Here is a 23,395-nt window from a genome sequence, read left to right as displayed (position 1 = left end):
TATTTGGGAAGCTGAGGCAGGAGGATCGCTTGAACCTGGGAGGCTGAGGTTGCAGTGAGCCAAGATCGCACCGTTGCACTCCAGCCTGGGTAACAGAGTGAGACTCCGTCTCAATAAATAAATAAAATAAAATAAATAAATAAATGATGTATATTCTCTTTGGATTGCTTTAACATAAATGCATAGCAGAATAAGACACTCATACAGGTACATAGCAGAGCCAGACAATTATACCATGTATTACATAGTTTTATGTTCACCGTAAGGATTCCTTTCACAACATGATGATGACAGTGATGATTATTGTCCTTATTATAGACACAATTTATCCAGTGGGTCAGCAGGGTGCTAAGTGTTTACATACATTGTAACATTTAATCCTCACAGCAGCCCTGCAAAGGAGTGCAGTGGAATGATCTGCTCTTGCTGTAGTCTCTGCCTCCCGGGTTCAAGTGATGCTTCTGCCTCAGCCTCCTGAGTAGCTGGGACCACAGGCGTGTGCCACCATGCCTGGCTAATTTTTGTATTTTAAGTAGAGACTGGGTTTCACCGTGTTGTCCAGGCCTATCTCAAACTCCTGGCCTCAGGTAATCCACTCACCTCAACCTTCCAAAGTGCTGGGATTACAGGCGTGAGCCACCGTGCCAAGTCCAAAGCAGATAGTTTTACACTCATTTTAAAAATAAGAAAAATAAGCCTAGAGAGGCAAGGAAACGTCACTAAAGTTATATAGTATAAATCTCAAAGCTATAAATCATAGCAAGGACTCCAAAGCATATCATGAACCTCTTTGTAAGTATTTCTATTGATTAGGACCCTCTATATTGCAAGGAAGTCAATTCTCATAATGTGCGTTTGGTGTTTTATAGCAAAGTTCTTTAATGTATTTTTTAAATATATTTTTTTCTCATTTGTTCCGTACAAGAGTCTTGTAAAGAGATTCTACCATTGGACAGCTCAGGTTTTTCTGTGGAGCCCAGATCTCTTAGCCTTGTTTGTTATTTCTTTTTTATATAACGGCCCAAATAAATGGGCTACTTTGTCCACATGATAGCCCTTTAGATATTTGGCAAGATTACCTTCAGGTTAAATATTCCTAACTTTTGTATCCATTCCTCATCACATTGTTTGTGAAGTATTTAGAATAGTCCCTGAAACATAGTGAATACTATATGTGTGTTAAATAAGTAAATGAAAATCTTCATCATCATCGTTTAGTAGAACTTGTTTGTTAATTCTTCCCTTAGAAGATGGTGCCCAGAACTAACCTTATTGCTGGAGATATATTAGCCTTGTGAGCAAAGACAACAGGGAGACTATATTGCTGTAAAGCAGCATATACTTAGTTATGCAGTGCAAGAGTATGTTAATTAATTTATTATTTTTTGTGATGGAATCTCACTCTGTCACCCAGGTTGGAGTGCAGTGGTGCAATCTTGGCTCACTGCAACCTCTATCTCCTGGGTTCAAGCAATTCTCCTGTCTCAGCCTCCTGAGAAGCTAGGACTACAGGCATGCACCACCACACCGGCTAATTTTTGTATTTTTGTATTTTTAGTAGAGACAGGGTTTCACCGTGTTGGCCAGGCTGGTCTGGAACGCCTGACCTCAAGTGATCTGCCCACCTCAGCCTACAAAAGTGCTGGGATTACAGGCATGAGCCACCATGCCCGGCCAAGAGTATGTTAATTTTTTAATTATGTTTTTTTCTCAAGTGATCTGCTGTCTTTCCATTCTATCCCTTCTTGTATTTATTTATTTTTTTAACCTCAACGCAGGACTTTAGAGCTATTACATTTTATTTTGTTAGTTTTGGTCCTTTATTGTACCTGGAGAACTTGTTGAATCCTGATTTGGTCACTATTTAGTTCAGTTCATAAGCTATTTCAGTTTAAACTATCACTGATTTGGTAAAATTTTTGGTGTGTGTGTGCATTTGCAAGTTACTGACTTAAATTGAATAGAAGAAAGGATAGAGCTTTTACTTTTGTGGTAAAATATTGGTTGAGTAGGAATTTTTTTTTTTTTTGAGTCATCAATTATTTTGTGAAGTATTGTATTCTGGGTCCAAACATATTTCTTGAGGTATGTTTAAGTACAGTAACAGCTATAAAATCATGTATATGTTGTATTCAAATATGCCAAATGATTGTGACTCATCACTTAATAACAGCTGTTTTTTGGGTGGGGAAGAAATATTAAAAGTACACAAAATTATGGAACTCTATCTTTGGTTATATACCACTTTTTTCTTTAGTGTAAAATTAAAAGATTGAATCTAAGCCTTTTTCCATAGTCAGAGTGTAAGGATTTTTCTGAATCAATTTTTGCCATTGATAGTTTGGCAAAGGATCATGATGACAAGACATTTTTTATAATTGATAATAATTTTACTTATTGAGAATTGAGAATATGAAACGTATAGAAGATTTTCTTGGTTTGACTGTACTTCTGATTGGTTAGACTTGTAATTTTGTTTTTTCCTTTGAGTTAAATGTCTTTAAGAAGCTAAGCAGCTTCTCTTGGATGCTAGTCAGAAGCTTTTAGGTGCCAACGTGATGAAAGTCCTGAACATATGAATTGCTCAAGCCAGCCTTTCCTAGATGTGAAAAATTTCTGATTTATTCTGAGAAATTTGGCAGTTTCTCCTGCCTTTAATTACATTGCCTGGCAGGTGACAAGCCATCTTCTCTATATATGGTTAATTTTCATTTTTCCTTGTTAATTTTCATATTTACTTGTAATATTTTCATTGTAATATGTTCTTGAAGTTATTTCACACAATGTTAGAGATTTCGAATTTAAGTTAAAATTCAGTTGAGAATATTCCTGCTGATGCAGGTACCTCAGGGAAGTGACAGTGAAATGATTAATGTGTAAAATCTCTGCCTCATGGCTGGCAGATTTCTTTAGCCAGTGATTGGAAAAAATCTCAATTTCAGAAAGATTAAAAAGGTGCAGGCTGGGCATGGTGGCTCACCACGCCTGTAATCTCAGCACTTTGGGAGGCCAAGGCGGGTGGATCACCTGAGGTCGGGAGTTCAAGACCAGCCTGGCTAACATGGTGAAACCCCGTTTCTACTAAAAATACAAAACATTAGCCGGGCATGGTCGCGCGCACCTGTAATCCTAGCTACTCGGGAGGCTGAGGCAGGACTGGGAGGTGGAGGTTGGGGTGAGCTGAGATTGCACTATTGCACTCCAGCTTGGGCAACAAGAGCTAAATTCCATCTCAAAAAAAAAAAATGTGCATTTGAGGATTGAGAAGATAGGATAATCTATTTCATGGCCATACAGTATGTTTATTTTGGTTTATTCTGTATAAATCTCGTATCTTCCTTTTGATATTTTTTTCTCTACTTTTAGTCACTAAAACCTTCATGATGGGTGATACAAAAGAATAATATGTAATAGATCTCTTTTAGAAGAGGTGACTATAAAGCTAATCTCTGCATGGAAAAAAAAATTTTAGCTACTGGTGAACAATTTTAACCAGGAGAGGGTTAAAATGATGGCTTGTGTTTAAAAGAACATTAGTAGTTTTATGTTTGTTTGTTTGCTTTGTGTTTTGTAGGTTTCTTTTTAAATTTTGTTTTTGTAGGATAGACCTCAGTTTCCCTTAGGAAGAAAGTGGTGTCTAGAGGCTCAAGTTTATAACACATTAAAGTGTGTTATACCCCTTACCTGGGTGTGGGGGTGATTTGGTGGTGAAATGTTACTCCATTGATCAGGGTTGATTTAGTTGATCTTCATTATTAGATGAATGTCATCTTCCTTCTTTCTTGTCTTTCTTCCCCATGTGCATCTCCAACAGAGTAGGACTGTCCTTGGGTTAAGTGGCTGTGTTTCCTGATGGTGTCACCATTAGTACTATAGAACTTCACCCACTGCTTACAAATGTTGTGATAAGAACACATCTGCAGAGCTATGTCTTAAAAGGGAGGGAGGATCCTCTTCTCCCCTTTTCTGCACTGGGCTGCAATAGGAATAGAAATTCTTAGCTTTGGCAAAAAAGGTAGCAGAAATGGGTGATTATTGGTGATGTTGGGTCCTGGGCATCCTGAATTCTAGAGGACTCATTGGAGAATTGAGTTTTCGGTAGGATAGCTGCCCCAAGTTAATGCCATTCTTAAGTCATAGAAATCTACTTTAATTCAAGAGTACAGTGTAATTATCAGAATGCTTGGGTTCCAGAAAATGAGTGCAGTTCCTAGAGAATTGGATGGGGGCCAGGCAGACAAACAATATGGTTCTGTTCCTACACCATTTATTTTCTTGAGGGAGAGCTGGGTGATCAGTTTTAGAGCAACACTGAAGTATGTAAAATAGGGATAGGAAAAAGGGAAAAGGTCTTTCGCCTTTTCTGTATTGATCAGATCTGAGTTTGAGACCATGCTTCTCTATGAACTGCCTTTTTTTTTTTTTTTTTTTTTTTTTTGAGACGGAGCCTCGCTCTGTCACCAAGGCTGGAGTGCAGTGGCGCGATCTCGGCTCACTGCAAGCTCCGCCTCCCCGGTTCACACCATTCTCCTGCCTCAGCCTCCCGAGTAGCTGGGACTACAGGCGCCCGCCACCACGCCCGGCTAGTTTTTTGTATTTTTTAGTAGAGACGGGGTTTCACCATGTTAGCCAGGATGGTCTCGATCTCCTGACCTCGTGATCCACCCGCCTGGACCTCCCAAAATGCTGGGATTACAGGCGTGAGCCACCGCGCCCGCCCGACACAATTTGATTTTAAAAGGCTCACTCGGGCTGTTGTGTGAGGCAAGGGTCAGTATAAAAAGCTACTATAGTTGGGGGAAACTGTGAGGGTGATAAGAAGATAGAGCTGATAGAAGTTGATGCTGGATTTGATGTCAGATGATATGGTGTGTGTATTTTAGTAGTATATTAGCATTTTTGAGAGAGAATGCAGAAATTATCCCCTTTTACTGCTTGCTTGGATCAGACTTGAAGGAGTCTGTAGAACCTGGAGCTCTGTACTAGTACTTGCAATTTCCTGCTTTGTTCTATAGTTAGGGGGTGCACAAAGTCGCAACTATTTTTATAATATCTAGTCATTGCTTGCCTTTTTCACTGCAGACATTTTCATTGGTGGTTCAAAAGCACTGGTGAGTAAAATTGTTGACATCTTAGTGCAAGTCAAAGTAGCAAACTGGGCTGGTAGTCATTGTATTGTTCACTGCCATGCAAATTAATTTTTAATTTTTAAAAATTAAAACAAGGCCATTTTACTTAATGTTTTTGATGAAACTGTAAAAATTATGAATTTTATTACATCCTAATCTTGAGTACATGCTTTTTTGGTATTTGTGACATAATTGGGATTGTGCCTTTTGCTCCTCTGCTGCATACTGACTGGGTAAATAAGGGAAAGCATTGTTAAACTGAGTGGGGAAGCCAGGCACAGTGGCTCACACCTGTAATCCCAGCACTTTGGGAGGACGAGATGGGAGGATCACTTGAGGTCAGGAGTTCGAGACCACCCTGGTCAACATAGTGAGACCCTGTCTCTATTAAAAAGAAAGAAAAGAAAAATAGAAAAAAAAAGTATTAGAAAAAAGTTTGAGGGGTATTTGAGTGTAAGCTGAGCTAGCCACCTTTTTCATGGAACACCATTTTTACTTTAAAGAACAGTTTACAGACAAACTATAGTTAATCACAGTTTGAATATATGGCAAATATTTTTTGGAAAATAATGAAGTAAACCTATGACTTCAAGGAAAACAAGTGACAGTTATTTGTTGTGAATGAAAAAATTGAAGCTTTCAAATGAAAAGTAGAAATTTGAAGAACTTATCTCTACCATGGTAAGCTTGATGGGTTCCCAGTACATAAAAGACTGTTCTAGTCAGATTGGAGGTGATATTGCCAAATACGGTTTTTTTGCTATTGTACAGTGAAATATGTCAACATTTGAAGATTTCCATAACCTGGTCAACCGGTGTTTTTCAAATATCAATGCATGGTGTTACAGAATCATGCATCAGTACAAGATCCATTCAAAGCACAAGACAGACCAATATATTTCAGTGTAATACAGTACAAAAAACTTATTTATATGATTTTAGATTTCACATTGCAATCTTTTTTTTTTTTTGAGACGGAATATTGCTCTTCTTGCTCAGGCTGGAGTGCAATGGTGCGATTTCGGCTCACCGCAACCTCTGCCTCCTGGGTTCAAGCGATTCTCCTGCTTCAGCCTCCCGAGTAGCTGGGATTTCAGGCATGTACCACCACGCCCGGCTAATTTTGTATTTTTAGTAGAGACGGGGTTTCTCCATATTGGTCAGGCTGGTCTCAAACTCCCTACCTCAGGTGATCTGCTTGCCTCGTCCTCCCAAAGTATTGGGATTACAGGAGTGAGCCACCGCGCCCAGCTGTGCAACCAACTTTTAAGAAGTGAATTTTGGTGTGTAGCAAAGAAAAATATCAGAAAAGGTTATTAAAATACTCCCACTCTTATCAACTGTGAATTTGTGCAAAGCATATATAAAAACCTAGCTGCTGTCTTCTGTTAAGCCAGACATTAAAGAAACATAATTTATTTTTATTTTTAATTAAATAATTTAAATAGACTGCTCATGTCACTTATTTGTTTTGGAAAATGTAGTTAATTTTTTCATAAGAAATTTTATATTAACACGTAGTGAGTATTATAGTTCTAAAATTAATACATTTAAAATTTTAAAAATCTTAATTTCTAATATGATAAATATCAATAGATATATCTATACAAAAGGTTTTGTGATCCTTAATAATTTTTAGAAGTATAAAAGGAGTCCTGAGATTCAAAAGCTTGAAAACTGTTAATACAGTAAAAAGAATATAAATTTTTGTGTCATGAACTGTCCCAGTTTCTAGGTATGTAATTTTGGAAAATAACTATTATTAGGTCTATTTTTCTTCTTGAGAAATAGGAATAATATTTGTTTCATAGGATTATTGAGCAAATTAAATGAATAAGGTATCAGAAATATACAGCATAGTGCCCAACACATTTAATAGATACCCATTAAATGCCAGCCATTCTATTGATTATTTGCATTTATTCATTTTTTTTTTTGAGATAGGGTCTCGCTTTGTCATCCTGGCTGGAGTGCAATAGTGTGACCACGACTCTGCAGCCTTGACCTCCGACACTCAGGCAATCCTCCCACCTCACCCTCCTGAGTAGATGGGACCACAGGCATACCACACTACCATGCCCAGCTAATTTTTTTTTTTTTTTTTTGAGATGGAATCTTGCTCTGTTGCCCAGGCTGAGTGCAGTGGCATGATCTCGGCTCACTGCAACCTCCACCTCCCGGTTTAAGCAATTCTCGTGTCTCAGCCTCCTGAATAGCTGGGACTACAGGCGCCTGCCACCACACCTGGCTGATTTTTGTATTTTTAGTAGAGATGGGGTTTCACCTTGTTTGTCAGGCTGGTCTTGAACTCCTGACCTCAGGTGATCTATCCGCCTCGGCCTCTGAAAGTGCTGGAATTATAGGCGTGAGCCACCATGCCCAGCCCCCAGCTAATTTTTAAAAATTATTGTTTGTAGAGACAAGATCTCCCCATGTTGCATGGACTGGTGTTGAATTCCTTGGGCTCAAGCAATCCTCCCGCCTCAGTGTTCCAAACTGCTGGGAATACAGGCTGCAGCCACTGTACCGGCCAGTGTTTTTTGCATATTTTAAAACTAAAGTTAGCCTGGTGCGGTGGCTCATGCCTGTAATCCCAGCACTTTGGGAGGCTGAGGTGGGCGGATCACTTGAGGCTAGGAATTTGAGACCTGCCTGGCCAACATAGTTTTGCTAAACTCCATCCCTACTAAAAATACAAAAATTAGTCGGGCATGGTGGTGCACGCCTATAATCCCAGCTAGTCAGGAGGCTGAGGCACAGGAGGTAGAGGCTGCAGTGAGCCGAGATGGCATCACTGCACTCCACCCTGGGCAATAGAGAGACTTTGTCACAAACAAACAAACCTACCTAAAAGCTAAAGTGGTCTTAATATTACTGGATGTTTTTCACTTGTTCGACAAAACAATTCGATTTAGTTTACCAAGTTAGAATGAAGGTGTTCAATTTCAGATTTAAAAAGTACATTATGAAAAGTTGATAGCAAAGTTTATTTTATGTTTTTATTATCCTTTGTGTAATAAATTAGCTTAAGCAGCAGGTTGAGGACATAGAAAACTGAGGAGATAGTAGATGGAAGTAACTAGGATGTTGGAGCACTTAGTTTTATGATATAGTTGGTGAATACAGTAAATTCACTGTTAGCCAGGTGATCGTGATGATGATTTTGCCATTTAAAATATTGAATTAGCAGAGCATAATATTTGGCATCATAGTAGAAGGTATTTCTGTTTATATTCTTATCTTTAAAAAGAGGGATTGAATTGTTGAACTGACTTCTAGTTCATAAATCTTGTGATAATATGATTAAAATTTGGACTTGTAATGGAAGGTTTCATTTGTAACTTCAGTAGGTACTGATGCTTTTACCCCCTCTTTTCTCTATGTTCTTGAGGGGTTAAGAAAACAAAGGATAATTATCCAGGAGCACGGCCACCTTGACTTCTTCACCTAGGTTATCTGTCTAGACTCTGGTGGACTCTCCTTAACTTAAATTTAAAAATTTGTTGAATAGATATAACATTCACATGCTTTAGAATTCTTAAAAATAAAAGGATACATTGTTAAAAGTTTCCCTTTCACCCATCTCTACCTATCTAGTTCCCCTCCTGGGCAGCAGCAAGTGTTATTTTGTGTGTGTGTGTGTGTGTGTGTGTGTGTGTGTTATTGTGTGTGTGTGTTTCTTTCTTTACCATTTGGAGCATGGTACTTCTTTTTCTCCCTGAAAGATAGAGAAGTGAAGAAAGGGAACTATTGCTACCTCTTCCACTATTGCTACCTCTTCCACTATTGATACAAAAAGGGATATTCAGGAATTTATACATTTGATTGTAAACGTCTCTTCTTTTTTTTATTCCCCCCTCCACCGAGTTGGAGTCTCGCTCTGTCACCCAGGCTGGAGTGCAATGGGCGATCTCAGCTCACTGCAACTTCTGCCTCCCGGGTTCAAGCGATTCTCCTGCCTCAGCCTCCTGAGTAGCTGGGATTATAGGCATGCGCCACCATGCCCGGCTAATTTTTGTATTTTTAGTAGAAATGGGGTTTCAACATGTTGGTCAGGCTGATCTCGAACTCCTGACCTCATGATCTGCCCACTTCTGCCTCCTAAAGTGCTGGGATTACATGCATGAGCCACTGCTCCAGGCCTGTCTCTTCTTTTTTACTGCCAAATGTATATCTCCAGCCTATACTTCTCCTTTGAGGTCTAGATTTTGTATTTGTCTTCACTTGGAATCTCAGAGTTATTTTAAAATTAACTTGTCCAAAATGGAGTTATCATTTTCTGCCTCCTCCCCTTTCACCTGGCCGCCCATTCTTTTAAATTACATCCTTAACTATCTAGTTGCTCAAGCCAGTCACTGAGATCATTCTTTGTTTCACCACTTCTTACTCCCCATACACATGTAATTAGCAAGTTATTTTGAACCAGTCTACTTCTGTCTCTGCCACCACATTGAGACTGACCAATTTTAATTATATTTTTTTCCTGGGAATATTGCACCAGACTCATAACTGGTCTCCCTATGTCCCCCTCCAATCCATTCTCTATATGAGGACAAGAATGATTTTAAAATGTAATTTGTATCATGCCACTTTCCTGCTACAGTAAAATAAAATATGTATACCTTCCAGATAGATTAAAAAACAAAATGGAATAATAAAAATAGTCAATCTAGAAGAAGGTAAGAAAGACAAGCAAAAGGGATATAGAACAGGCAGAACAAATAGAAAACACAAAAAGGGGCTGGGCTGGCAGTGGCTCATGCTTGTAATCCCATCACTTTGGGAGGCTGAGGCAGGCAGATCACTTGAGGTCCGGAGTTCAAGACCAGCCTGGCCAACATGGTGAAACCCTGTCTCTACTAAAATACAAAAATTAGCTGGTGTGGTGGCACATGCCTGTAATCCCAGCTACTTGGGAGGCTGAGGCAGGAGAATCGCTTGAACCTGGGAGGCGGAGGGTGCAGTGAGCCGAGATTGTACTATTCCACTCCAGCCTGGGTGACAGAATGAAACTTCTCAAAAAAAAAAAAAAAAAAACACACAAAAAGATGGTAGATTTGGACCCTGATATATCAGTAAGTATATGTGAAACTGGATTAAATGCTTCAGTTAAAAAGACAAATATTGTCTTACTGTAGGATAAAAACACCCAACTGCATGCAGTTGGAGACATATCTAAAACATCAGGACGTTAAAAAGTTGAAAGTGAGAGGATTGAAAAATATATTCCATGCAAATACCAATTCAAAAAAGTTGGTATAATGGTGTTAATATCCCAATAGTTGTTTTTTGAGATGGAGTCTCGCTCTGTCGCCCAGGCTGGAGTGAAGTGGCGTGATCTTGGCTGACTGCAACCTCCGCCTCCTGGGTTCAAGTGATTCTCCTGCCTCAGCCTCCTGAGTAGCGGGCCTACAGGCGTGCGCCACCACACCTGGCTAATTTTTGTATTTTTAGTAGAGACGGGGTTTCACCATATTGGCTAGGCTGGTCTCAAGCTCCTGAGCTCGTGATCCATCTGCCTCGGCCTCCAAAAGTGCTGGGATTACAGGCATGAGCCACCGTGCCCGCCCCCAATAGGTTTTAAAACAGAAAACATTATCTGAGAAAAAGGTGCATGTCTCACAATGAAAAGTGGTTCAATTAACCAAAAATCTATGAAAATTTTAAGTTTGATTGCACTTGATAACATGGCTTCAAAATATATCGAGCAAAACTTGCTAGAATTACAAGAAGACACAGAAACCCCCAATTATAGTGGGAGATTTTTAACATTCCTCTCTGTTACCAAAAAAGCCAACAATAACAACAACAACAAATCAATAAGGATGTAAAAAATACGAACAACACCATTAAAATGGTTCTTTATGAAATGCTGAACCCAACAACTGCAGAATAAAAAGTTTTTTTTTGCAAGGATATAGACAGCATTTACAAAAATTGGTCAGACTCAACCATAAAGCAAATCTCAACACATTTCAGACGATTGAAATTACACTGCCTGTTCTCTGATCGCAATGCAGATAAGCTAGACATTTTTAAAAAGGTAGATATATTAGGAAAAAGGCTAAAATATCAATCATCAAATCTGTTTTAAGAAATTAGAAGAACAATTTTAAGTTGCTTAGTTTCCCAATTTGAGTTTATTTTACCCAAATAAAATAGAAGTAATAAAAGAGCAGGAATGATTAAATTAGAAAAATAGAGCAACAAAGCCAACACTTTGTTCTTTGAAAAGATGAATAAAATTAATAGACCAGGCACCGTGACTCATGCCTATAATCCCAATATTTTGGAAGGGCAAGGTGGGAGGATTGCTTGAGTCCAGGAGTTTGAGACCAGCTTGGGCAGCATAGTGAGACATCTCTACTGAAAATTTAAAAAAAATTAGTTGGGTGTGGTGGTGTGTGCCTGTAATCCCAGCTACTTGGGAGGCTGAGATGGGAGGATCACTTGAGCCTGGAAGGTTGAGGCTGCAGTGAGCCATGATTTTGCCACTATACTCCAGCCTGGGTGACAGAGCAAGACCCTGTTTCAAAATAATAATAATAATAATAATAATAATAATAATAATAATAATAATAATAATAAACGTACTGATCAAGAGAAAAAGAAGGCACAAATAACAGATATTAGGAATCAGAAGTGTTACATCAGTATAAATTCAAATGTCATCGTATATCATTAGCGGATATTTTGAACAAATTTTATGCCAATAAATGAAAAGAGATAAACAATGCTAGAAAAATTTAGTTTGTCAAAATGCACATAAAAAGGAATTAGAAGGCCGAGCGCGGTGGCTCACTCCTCTAATCCTAGCATTTTGGGAGGCCAAGGTGGGTGGATCACTTGAGGCCAGGAATTTGAGACCAGCCTGGGCAACATGGTGAAGCCTTATCTCTACTAAAAATCCAAAAATTAGCCGGGTATGTTGGTGGGCACCTGTAATCCCAGCTACTTGGGAGGCTGAGGCACGAGAATTGCTTGAAACCCGGGAGGCGGAGGTTACAGTGAGCCGAGATCGTGCCACTGCACTCCAGCCTGGGTGACAAGAGGGAGACTCTGTCTCAAAAAAAAAAAAAAAAAAATGGAATGATAGCTCAAAGTAAATCTTTGGTTTTGGCATAGTTGGTGTTGACCTTTTGTCTCTAGCACCAAATTGTCGACAAGTTTGTTTGCTTTTTTTTTTTTTTTGAGATAGGGTCTCATTTTGTTTCCTAGGCTGGAGTGCAATGCCGCCATCTCGGCTTACTGCAACCTCTGCCACCCGGACTCAAGCGATTCTTCTACTTCGGCTTCCCAAGCAGCTGGATTACAGGGTGCGCTACCACACCCGGCTATTTTTAGTAGAGACGGGGTTTTGCCATGTTGGCCAGGCTGTTCTGAACTCCTGGCCTCAAGTGAGATGTTCACTTCAGCTTTCCAAAGTACGGTGACTGTAGGCGTGAGCCACCGCGCCCGGCCAAGTTTATTTGCTTTTTAGGACTACTTTTAGTTAAACTTAGGAAATTTAGTTCAATATTTTGAAAAGAAGGAAGAGGACCTTATTCTAGACCAATCAAATTGGAAATTGTTACTTGCTCATGTTGATTTTTTTAACCTTGTATTATGCTGAAGACTGAAGGCACTGAATAGTTTATGAATCTGACCCACAGACGGCTCCTAATCTATCAGTGTATAACTGTGTTTAAAATTGTTCTTAAGGGCCGGGCGTGGTGGCTCATGCCTGTAATCCCAGCACTTTGGGAGGCCAAGGCGGGCGGATCACCTGAGGTCAGGAGTTTGAGATCTGACTGGCCAACATGATGAAACCCCATCTCTACTAAAAATATAAAAAGTAGCCGGGCGTAGTGGTACTCGCCTGTAATCCCAGCTACTCGGGAGGCTGAAGCAGGAGAACCACCTGAACCCGGGAGCGGAGGTTGCAGTGAGCCCAGATCGGCCTCTGCACTCCAGCCTGGACAACAGAAGGAGACTCTGTCTCACACACACACACACAAAAATTGTTCTTAAACATTTTCATTTTATTTGAACTGAACATATTAGTTAGTAGTAGGATGAAAACTGTGCTTTACTGAGAGTTCCTAATGCGGAAAATTCACTTGAGTGTCTCTAACTTTATTCGTCCTTTGGATAAAATTGAAAAATTGCCGACATACAGTTGTTTGTGAGGGGAGGGATGGTTTCTTTAATGTCTTCATGAGATAGGTATGCAATTTCTACGTGGGAGGAGAGAGAAATCAATTTTACTAAATTCATATATAAAACTGCCTATAATGAAAGATGCTTTTCTTTTTTTTTTGTGAGACGGAGTTTCGCTCTTCTTGCCCAGGCTGGAGTGCATTGCCGCCATCTTGGTTCACCGCAACCTTCGCCTCCCAGGTTCAAGCGATTCTCCTGCCTCAGCCTCCTCAGTAGCTGGGATTACAGGCATGCGCCACCACCCCTGGCTAATTTTGTATTTTTAGTAGAGATGGGGCTTCTCCATCTTGGTCAGGCTGGTCTTGAACTCCCGACCTCAGGTGATCCGCCCCTTTTGGCCTCCCAAAGTGTTGGGATTACAGGCGTGAGCCACCGTGCCCGGCTGAAAGATGCTTTCTTCATTGCATATTTTCATATTAAAGTACTAAGTACCAATGGAAATTTGTACCTCCGGTTCTTATTTCTGAAAAACATAATGTCACTTATATCTCCAAATCTGTCTTGTTTTTTTGTCCCTAGTTAAGATCAAGAGATTTTCTGTAATCCAGGGTTTTGTTTTGTTTTTGGTAAAATTAATTACAGAGATGACTTTATTTTATTTTATTTTATTTATTTATTTTGAGACAGAGTTTCACTCTTGTCGCCCAGGCTGCAGTGCAGTGGAGTGACCTTGGCTCACTGCAACCTCTGTCTCCCATGGTTCAAGCAATTCTCCTGCCTCAGCCTCCCAAGTAGCTGGGATCACAGGCGGGTGCCACCACGCCTGGTTAATTTTTGTATTTTTAGTAGAGATGGGGTTTCACCATGTTGGCCAGGCTGGTCTTGAACTCTTGACCTCGGGTGATCTGCCTGCCACTTTCCCAAAGTGCTGGGATTACAGGCGTGAGCCACCGTGCCCGGCCATGGAGATGACTTTAGTGTAGTGAATTTATTTGTGCTGTTTTCTAAATTTTGCTCAAAATAGTATTTTGCTGACTTTGCCAACAATTCCCATTCCATTCTGCCTTTATTGAGCAAAAGTGTGTGTGTGTGTGTGTGTGTGTGTGTGTGTGTGTTTGAATCATGGCCGATCTCTTGTCAAGCTGAGACTGGAATTTATCACATGCACATCTCTTATGTCCTGCATGTGATCCCTTGATAATGTTTTGCTTATTATTTTGGTCGTAATTGTTAATGTGATGACTTTCGTAAAATTGCTGATATGTGAAATTTAGCAAATTTTATTTACTGACTTTTTAATTTCAAATATTACTGTTGGTTTAACATTTAGATCATAAGTATGGCTTAGGGTATCATTTTGAAATTAAATTCGTCATTCTATAACATCAACTATAGGATGTAGTCCAAACTTCATAGCACAGCTTTCAAGTCTTTGTCTTTTGCTCATCATTCCAATATCATTCTTTACTGTTTTCTATAACTTCTTCACCCCCACTAATAATAACTGTTTGTTTGTTTCCCAAATATAAATTGTTTCTGCACTTGAGTGGTGATTTGGATCACTTTAAAAAAAATCTGGAATGCTAGGCAGTGTTGCTTTTGTTCGCCTACAGATTTCTAACAAATTCTTTAAGGCTCATTTCAGTGTGGTCCATTCTTCAATATTTAACTCTCTGCAAAGTTATGAGCTCTGCCATATGTTCTACGGTCAGGCTGTACTCCCTTCTATTTAATAAATAATAATTATTATTTATTTTCATATTTGTCTCTAACAGCAGACTTTCCGAACAACTTGAAAACTGGGATTCAGTCTTACTGATTTTTGTCCCCAAGGATGACTAGATATTTAAATTGTTTGCTAAATGAACAAAGAATAATGTGAAAGAGAAATTAGCAGCAAAAGGAATCTGTGAAATCTGTTTGAAAAATAAATCTCAAAATGGATATCCTTTTTTTTGGAGGGGTTGGAGAGTACATTGTACTCAGAAATCATGGTATCTTCTGACTTTAAATTTGCTATATAAGCAATATTATTTTGCAGTCACAGTATTTTTGCTTAAAATCTGCCAGTGAAATTTCTGAAGGAGCTGAAACCACTTTTAAGTAAATGTTCTTATGTTTTTACACCTTCTAATTTATTTATTTTATTTTATTTTTTTTAGGAAATACTCCTTTACACCTTGCTGTGATGTTAGGAAATAAAGGTTAGTAAATATTTTCTTTTTTTATGTTTAACTTCATTTATATATAGTCAGTTTAAAATTTTTAAGATCAGTTTTGTCTTTTGAGTTTTTAAAAACTCATTTTATCTGTTAATTGAACTTAGAATTTAGTATATTGAAATTAGTAAATATTTTCTTGTTTTCCATGGCCCTTTTTAAAAAGTGTTGGTGGAAATCCTGTACTAACTTTTATGTCTTTTGAAACTATGTTTTTTTTCCCCTTACTTGGTTGTTTTATCAAGCAGGAATTTATAATTTTAGAAGACTTATTTCCAAATATTAAGATTTATTATTATACTTTTCATATTAGAGTTTTATATGATTTTTAATATATAATATTTTATATATATAAAGTCATAAGTTGAGCCTTTGGTAGATAATTGCAAAAACTTAATACTTGTTTATTAAGTATTTATTAAAGTAGTCATTATTTAATTAAAAAGCCTTATAGGCAGGTGATTTAAAAGATACCTACTTTTGTAGGTTATTCCTAAGTGCAGTAAAACTTTAGTTATTTAGATCCCCGGTTATTCTGGAAAGTGAGGATTTTAGATAGCTGAATAGCAATGCTTTGAGTACTAGATTTTTATATTTTAAATGTGTTTAGTAAAAATTTTTTCTTTTTTTTTTTTTTGAGGCAGAGTCTCGCTCTATTGCCCAGGCTGGAGTACAGTGGTGCAGTCTTAGCTCACTGCAACCTCTGCCTCCCAGGTTTAAGCAATTCTCCTGCGTCAGCCTCCTGAGTAGCTGGGACTACAGGCTCATGCCACCACGCCTGGCTAATTTTTTGTGTTTTTAGTAGAGACAGGGCTTCACCATGTTGGCCAGTCTGGTCTCGATCTCCTGACCTCATGATCCGCCTGCCTCGGCCTCCCAAAGTGCTGGGATTACAGGTGTGAGCCACCGCACCCAAATGATACAATTTTTTAAAGAAATATAATTGTATATTTTTAGACAGGCTAATGAACTTCTGTTAAGATTTTTTTTTCAATGATCTAGAAGTATCATTATGAACATCTGTTGTTGTTATATGGTATAATGTATCTGTCAGTGTAAACATTTGATCTGAATGTATGGGCCTAGGGATATTGCTAGAACTTGTTTTTATTTTATTTTATTTATTTATTTATTTTGAGATAGAATTTCACTCTTATTGCCTAGGCTGGAGTGCAATGGTGCAATCTTGGCTCACCACAATCTCTGCCTCCCAGGTTCAAGCGACTCTCCTGCCTCAGCCTCCGGAGTAGCTGGGATTATAGGGCTAATTTTGTATTTTTAGTAGAGATGGGATTTTTCCATGTTGGTCAGGCCGATCTCGAACCCCCGACCTCAGGTGATCCACCCGCCTTGACCTCACAAAGTGCTGGGATTACAGGCATGAGCCACCGTGCCTGGCCTTTATTTTATTTTTGAGACATGGTGTCGCTGTGTTCCCCAGGGTGGAGTGCAATGATGCAATCATGGGTCACTGCAGTCTTGAGAACTCCTGAGCTCAAGTGATCCTCCTGTCTCAGCCTTCAGGGTGGCTGGGACTGTAGACACATGCCACCATGCCCGGCTAATTTTTTCATTTTATGTAGAGACAGGTTCTCACTTTGTTGCCCTGGCTTGAACTTGTTTTGTTGAAAAACAAAGTTCTTTTGCTAGTTTGATTTTTAAGTTCAAATCTTTAAATGAAGTGTATGATCCACAGGATAATATAATTTTTATTTTAGAGACAGGGTCTTGCTCCGTTGCCCAAACTGGGGTATAGTGGTGCGATCCTAGCTCACTGCGGCTTCAAACTCCTGGGCTCAAGTGATCCTCTTGTCTCCAGCCTCCCAAGTAGCAAGGACTAGATGCACATGCCACCATACCTAACTAACTTTTAAATTTATTTTTAGAAATGAGGTCTCGCTATGTTGCCCAGGCTATTCTCAAACTCCTGGCCTCAAGCAATCCTCCCTCCTGGGCCTCCCAGAACACTGGGATTACAGATGTGAGTCACTGTGCCTGACCTTAATTTTTATTTTAATTCTATATAATTGGTGATTCAAATCTGTATCTTCAATGTTATAGTTATGGCTTTTTTTTCTTCTTAACAAGTAAGATTAACTAGAGTAACTTCTAAGTAAAGAAGTATTCATTAAAAGGCTACATGTTAGAGAAACTCAAGAAGTAGGTACCAGCCAGGTCTCAGGAAGAGTGGGAACCAAGATGTTTGGAGGAATCAGTCATTCTCCTATTTCCTTATCATCTTTCAATCTCTTATGGTGTGTCTGCTGTTCTTTATATCTGCGGTATTCTCCTTTTTCGTGATTGACTTTTCCTGTTTACTGAAATTGAACAGACCTAAAATAATTCTTTTAGGATCCTAAGTTGACTTTCTGGTGTTCACTGCTAACTAGATGGGTTTCTTAGGTTCGCAAATTTCTGAGCAAAAAGTTTGATTGGTCCAGTTTATCTCAAGCCAAGCCACAAGTGATGGGTGATGGCAGACTTATGAATTATCTGTCTTTAAGATAGGTATTTGCTTCTGTGAAATTAGCTTTAGCTAGACTGACTTGGGTGAGATTTGGGGGTAGGAGAGGGAATCAGGAATACAAAGGAAGTATGTTTACTTTAGCAGGAATGTGGATAGGGCAGGCCATGATTGACATCTCTAGCAACCTTGGTGAAAATATGTCAGATACAGCCAGCTGAATTTGATCAATAAAAACTTGCGCTTTTTTTTTTCAAAGAACATTGGATTGGAACTTTAGAAAATAACTAGAATTTATTATTTACAATATACCAGATGCTTTTCCTAGTACTTTACACGTATTTACTCATTTAACTCTTACCACAACCATGTGAGTGAAGTACTATTATTATCTCCATTTTATGGAAGAAAAACATTAGCCCCAAAACTTGCCCAGAGTAAAGTAGCCAAGTTTTAATTTCAACTTGGGAGTGCCTGGCTCTAAAATCTATTTTAATGGTGTATTGCTTTGCCCTCTTTTTCACTGAGAACCATTCAGAAAGGATATGGTCTGTATCAAAGTTGGCCAACATGCAACTTGCCAAATCTGATTGCTATTCTGGAATCCTTCCTAATTTAGCACTTTAGTAGTTAATATGGATTTACCAGGATTTGAATGTGAAATGAAGCCTATCTGCCATCTCTGTTTGAGGGTTCTAATTTTATTTTATTTTTCCACTCAAGTATATTCTCACAGAGGGTATTCTAATTTTAGATAGATGTACTATTATGCTTCATCATCGGTTTATATCAGCCTGTTTTAAAATGTATTTCAGCCAGCCGTGGTGGCTCACGTCTGTAATCCTAGCACTTTGGGAGGCCGAGGCGGGCAGATCACTTAAGGCCAGGAGTTTGAGACCAGCCTGGGCACCATGGCAAGACCCCATCTCTACTAAAAATACAAAAATTAGCCGGGCATGGTGGCACATGCCTGTAATCCCAACTATTTGGGAGGCTGAGAAAGGAGAATCACTTGAACCCAGAGGCAGAGGTTGCAGTGAGCCGAGATCATACCACAGCACTGCAGCCTGGATAACAGAGCGAGACTCCGTTTCAACAACAACAACAAATTAAAATATATTTCATAAAACATTAGTTTCTTTGCATCCATTGAAGTACAGGAGAAAAACCACATTAGTTTTATGGGATATTGAAAGGTATTTAGAAGAAAATAGAGTTTCCAGAGCAAATCAATTTGAAAAATATTAGGTAAATAAAAGTTAAAAAGTTTTCTTTGTTGTGGAACTTGTTAGAAATTTGATATGCTAATATGCATTGTAATGTTTCAAGTTGGGGCATGTGTTGGACATAGTGGTCAGAGTTCCCCACAGTTATTTGATGTTTGCTCTTTTTTACAAGTATCTTGACAGATTACAGTTCTGTGGGATGTATTTTGGGAAACACTTGGTTAGATGATTCAGGATCTGCAAATAATGTTGGTATTTGTTGTTTCTGAATCCTTTTCAAATAGAGTAGACACAACCAATTACATACTGATCCATTAACATTTTTCCAGTTGTGCACCCTTTTTTTGCTTTTTTTCTTATGATCTTTATGTATGTGTTTGTATAATTCTCTTTTTAAAATAACTCAAACAAACTTGAAAGTCTGTTGATATTTTTTATATTTGGTTGCACAAGAGTGAGATTAGAATATGTAGTGGAAAGTAAAACATCTACTTTATACTTAGTGTTCCTTTTTTTTTTTTTTTTTTTTTTTGAGTCGAGTCTTGCTCTGTTGCCTAGGCTGGAGTGCAGTGGGATGATCTCGGCTGCAACCTCTGCCTCCTGAGTTCAAGCGATTCTCCCACCTCAGCCTACCTAGTAGTAGCTGGGATTACAGGCTATTTTTTGTATTGTTAGTAGAGACAGGGTTTCACCATGTTGGCCAGGCTGGTCTCAAACTCCTGACCTCAGGTGATTTACCCACCTCAGCCTCCCAAAGTGCTGAGATTTACAGATCCACTGTGCGTGGCCTACTTAGTGTTCTATACGTTGCTTTTATATTATGTCATTGTTCAGCCTAGATAGTCTATTCCCTTTTATCTTCTTTTAAGATACACTGTACCTTTAGTGATTTCATTTAGTAGTAGCTGGGATTACAGGTGTGTGTTACCATGCCCGGCTAATTTTTCTATTGTTAGTAGAGACGGGGTTTCACCATATTGGCTAGGCTGGTCTCGAACTCCTGACCTCAGATGATTTACCCACCTCGGCCTCCCAGAGTGTTGAGATTACAGGTGTGAGTCACTGCGCCTGGCCTACTTAGTGTTCTATACCTTGCTTTTACATTATATCATTGTTCAGCCTAGATAGTCTATTCTCTTTTATCTTCTTTTAAGATACACTGTACCTTTAGTGATTTCATTGTTGAAGGGCACGTTCTGTTTCTGTACTTGTCTATAAACACAACAAAATTTCCCAGGGCGTTCACGTAATATTTTGATTGAGGTAAAGAGAATCTTTTATACTTCTACATGCTTTCCTTCTCTCACTCATCTTAACCTACTGAATAACGTTAGTTTTTCACCACAGAAGACTGATTTTTTTCTGAATTTCTGAGTCCATTGACTAATATTAGTAATGTCACGTGGGAGGTTATTGAACTGTGGATTTGGATGGAAATGAAGAATATTATACTTAAGTAAGGAAGGTTTCAGGAAGTTTTACGAGATGATATAGAAAAACTAATCTTTAATTCTTATCCTTTTGGTTGAAAATATGAGAGAAAGGTTTTTCAAACCAGTTGCTGCAACTTTTAATTCATTTTCAGTCTTTTTTGGATCTGCAATTTTTTATTTTTTCTTAAAGTAACTTTAGAATTAATATGGTTTCTAACTTTAATAACTGTAGATATTCTGTTGTTTCCAACTGTCCTATTTTTCTCACTGGTTCTCTCTATATTTGATCGTCTTTATAGTTCTTACTTATTAATGTGTGATTTCTTTTTTTTTTTTTTTTTTTTTGGTTTGTTTGTTTTTTTGAGACGGAGGCTCACTCTGTCACCCAGCCTGGAGTGCAGTGGCATGATCTCTGCTCACTGCAACCTCCACCTCCCAAGTTCAAGCAATTCTCCTGCCTCAGCCTCCTGAGCAGCCGGGATTACAGGCGCATGCCACCACGTCCAGCTAAGTTTTTTATTTTTAGTAGAGACAGGGTTTTGCCATGTTGGCCAGACAGGTCTCAAACCCCGTACCTCAGGTGATCCACCCACCTTGGCCTCCCAAACTGCTGGGATTGTAGGCATGAGCCACTGTTTCCGGCCTAAATGTGTGATTTCTATTCCTCATAATTTGCGTTTTTCACAGTCCTTGCCTTGAGTTCTTCCTGGCACATTTATGCATTCTTTAAGCCTTAGTGCTTAGTTGTTAACTACCTTCTTTTCTTATTATGCATTGTTAACATTACTGAGAGAAGACATTCGATTGATCTGGTTGTTTTTTTTTTTTTTTGAGACGGAATATCGCCCTGCCACCCAGGCTGGAGTGCAGTGGTGCATCTCGGCTCACTGCAATCTCTGCTCCCTGGTTTCAAGTGATTCTCCTGCCTCAGCCTCCTGAGTAGCTGGGATTGCAGGTGTGTGCCACCACCCTGGCTAATTTTTGTATGTTTAGTAGAGCTGGGGTTTCACCATGTTGGTCAGGCTGGTCTCAAACTCCTGATCTCCTGATCCGCCCGCCTCAGCCTCTCAAAGTGCTGGGATTACAGGCGTGAGCCACCGTGCCTGGCCACCAGTTCTTTTTTTTTTAAATTATAAGACTATGTCATAGGTTATTAGCATATCTATGATTATCTGATTTTTTGTTAGTTGCTAATCTCTACTTCAGTTGAGTTGTGACTAGTGCGTGAAGGGCATCTTTTCTGCTGGGTCTGTGGCATATCAGAAACATTGCTGATATGTGTCTAGCACAATGTATAAATCTTACATGAATTCTGAGGTATTCCTTTAGCTATTGTTGTGCAACCTGCTTTTTAATATTTTTATAGTATCTTTTTTTTCTTTTTCTTTTCTTTTTTTTTGAGACAGAGTCTCACTTTGTTGCCCAGGCTGGAGTGCAGTGATGCAATCTTGGCTCATCACAACCTCCACCTCCTGGGTTCAAGTGATTCTCCTGCCTCAGCCTCATGAGTAGCTGGGACTACAGGCGTGGGCCACCATGCCCAGCTAATTTTTGTATTTTTAGTAAAGATGGGGTTTCACTATGTTGGCCAGGCTGGTCTCGAACTCGTGATCCACCTGCCTCGGCCTCCCAAAGTGCTGGGATTACAAGTGTGAGCCACTGCTCCTGGCCTATTTTTTTCTTTAATGATTTTTTTGGTTACTAATACATGCATGTTGAAACAGTTGAAATCATACAATACATAGATACATAAAAGCATCATCTCTCTACTTTTTTTTTCTTGATGTAGTTAACATTTACAGCCTCATGGATATCCCTTCATATCGTACTCTTTACTTACAACACAGGGACTTTGTTTGTTTTCATGGAAGTAGAATCCCTACAGATAGTAATTTGCCATATTTTTCTTTTCTTTCAAAAGTCTACCATGAAATAGCTATAGAAATTTGTAGATATCTTACATGTTTACATTCCCCTATACATGTATACATACAAACATATTTACAAAACCCAATGGTTTTTTGGGAGATGGGTCCGTTTGTTTTTATTCTTTTTAAAAAAAATTTCTTTTTATCTTGGCTATCATCCCCTCTTCTTACTAATCCCCTTCCCAATAAATATGGTAATGCATGTTAAAACCTGCTGGATATTCTTACATACATTTCTCTATGCTTATTATTATATAGAAATACTTGTGCATGTGTCTGAACATACACACTCATGTATGTAGTTTTTTACTCATTCCTTTTATTTATTTATTGAGTCAGTCTCTCTCTGTTGCCCAGGCCAGAGTGTAATGGCGCTGTCTCGGCTCACTGCAACCTCTGCCTCCAGGGTTCAAACGATTCTTCTGACTCAGCCTCCAAGTAGCTGGGATTACAGGCATGTGCCACCACACCTGGCTACTTTGTGTATTTTTAGTAGAGATGGGGTTTCACCATGTTGGCCAGGCTGGTCTTGAACTCCCGACCTCAGGTGATCTGCCCACCTTGGCCTCCCAAAGTCCTGAGATTATAGGTGTGAGCCACTGCACCTAGGCTTACTCATTCCTTTTTAAACAATGCAATCATTATATACTTCTGTGTTGAGCAGATGAATTCTATCACTTAGCAGTACACCGTGAACATTCCTTTAAGCCTGTTGAGATGACTCTGATTGATTCCTTTTTTTGATTTATTTAATTCCTTTATCCTTCTCAATATTTTATTATAAAAAATTTAAATATACCCCCAAAATTGAAAGATTATCACAACAAACATTCAAATGCTTTCCATATAGACTCAAT

At 38.8% G+C, this 23,395-nt stretch overlaps 1 protein-coding gene across 11 annotated transcripts in view; it reads left to right on the top strand.

The window, feature by feature from the left end:
- Positions 1 to 23,395, top strand: part of ANKRD13C (ankyrin repeat domain 13C) — a 95,724-nt gene that overhangs the window by 3,193 nt on the left and 69,136 nt on the right. For 7 of the 11 annotated variants that reach the window (XR_007064007.1, XM_005271235.4, XM_005271234.4 and 4 more), the window contains exon 2: positions 15,431 to 15,472. The exons of the other annotated variants lie outside the window; for them this stretch is intronic. Coding sequence is in view for 6 of the 7 variants with exons in the window: in XM_005271235.4 (XP_005271292.1) it covers positions 15,431 to 15,472 (42 nt within the window). In the remaining variant the exon portion in view is untranslated. The remainder of the gene's footprint in view (positions 1 to 15,430; positions 15,473 to 23,395) is intronic. 11 annotated transcript variants of the gene reach the window in all.

This window comes from Homo sapiens, chromosome 1 (assembly GCF_000001405.40).
Source record: "Homo sapiens chromosome 1, GRCh38.p14 Primary Assembly".
NCBI lineage: Eukaryota > Metazoa > Chordata > Mammalia > Primates > Hominidae > Homo > Homo sapiens.
The sequence above is the reverse complement of the archived record's forward strand: the minus strand, read 5'-3'. Positions and strand labels throughout refer to the sequence as shown.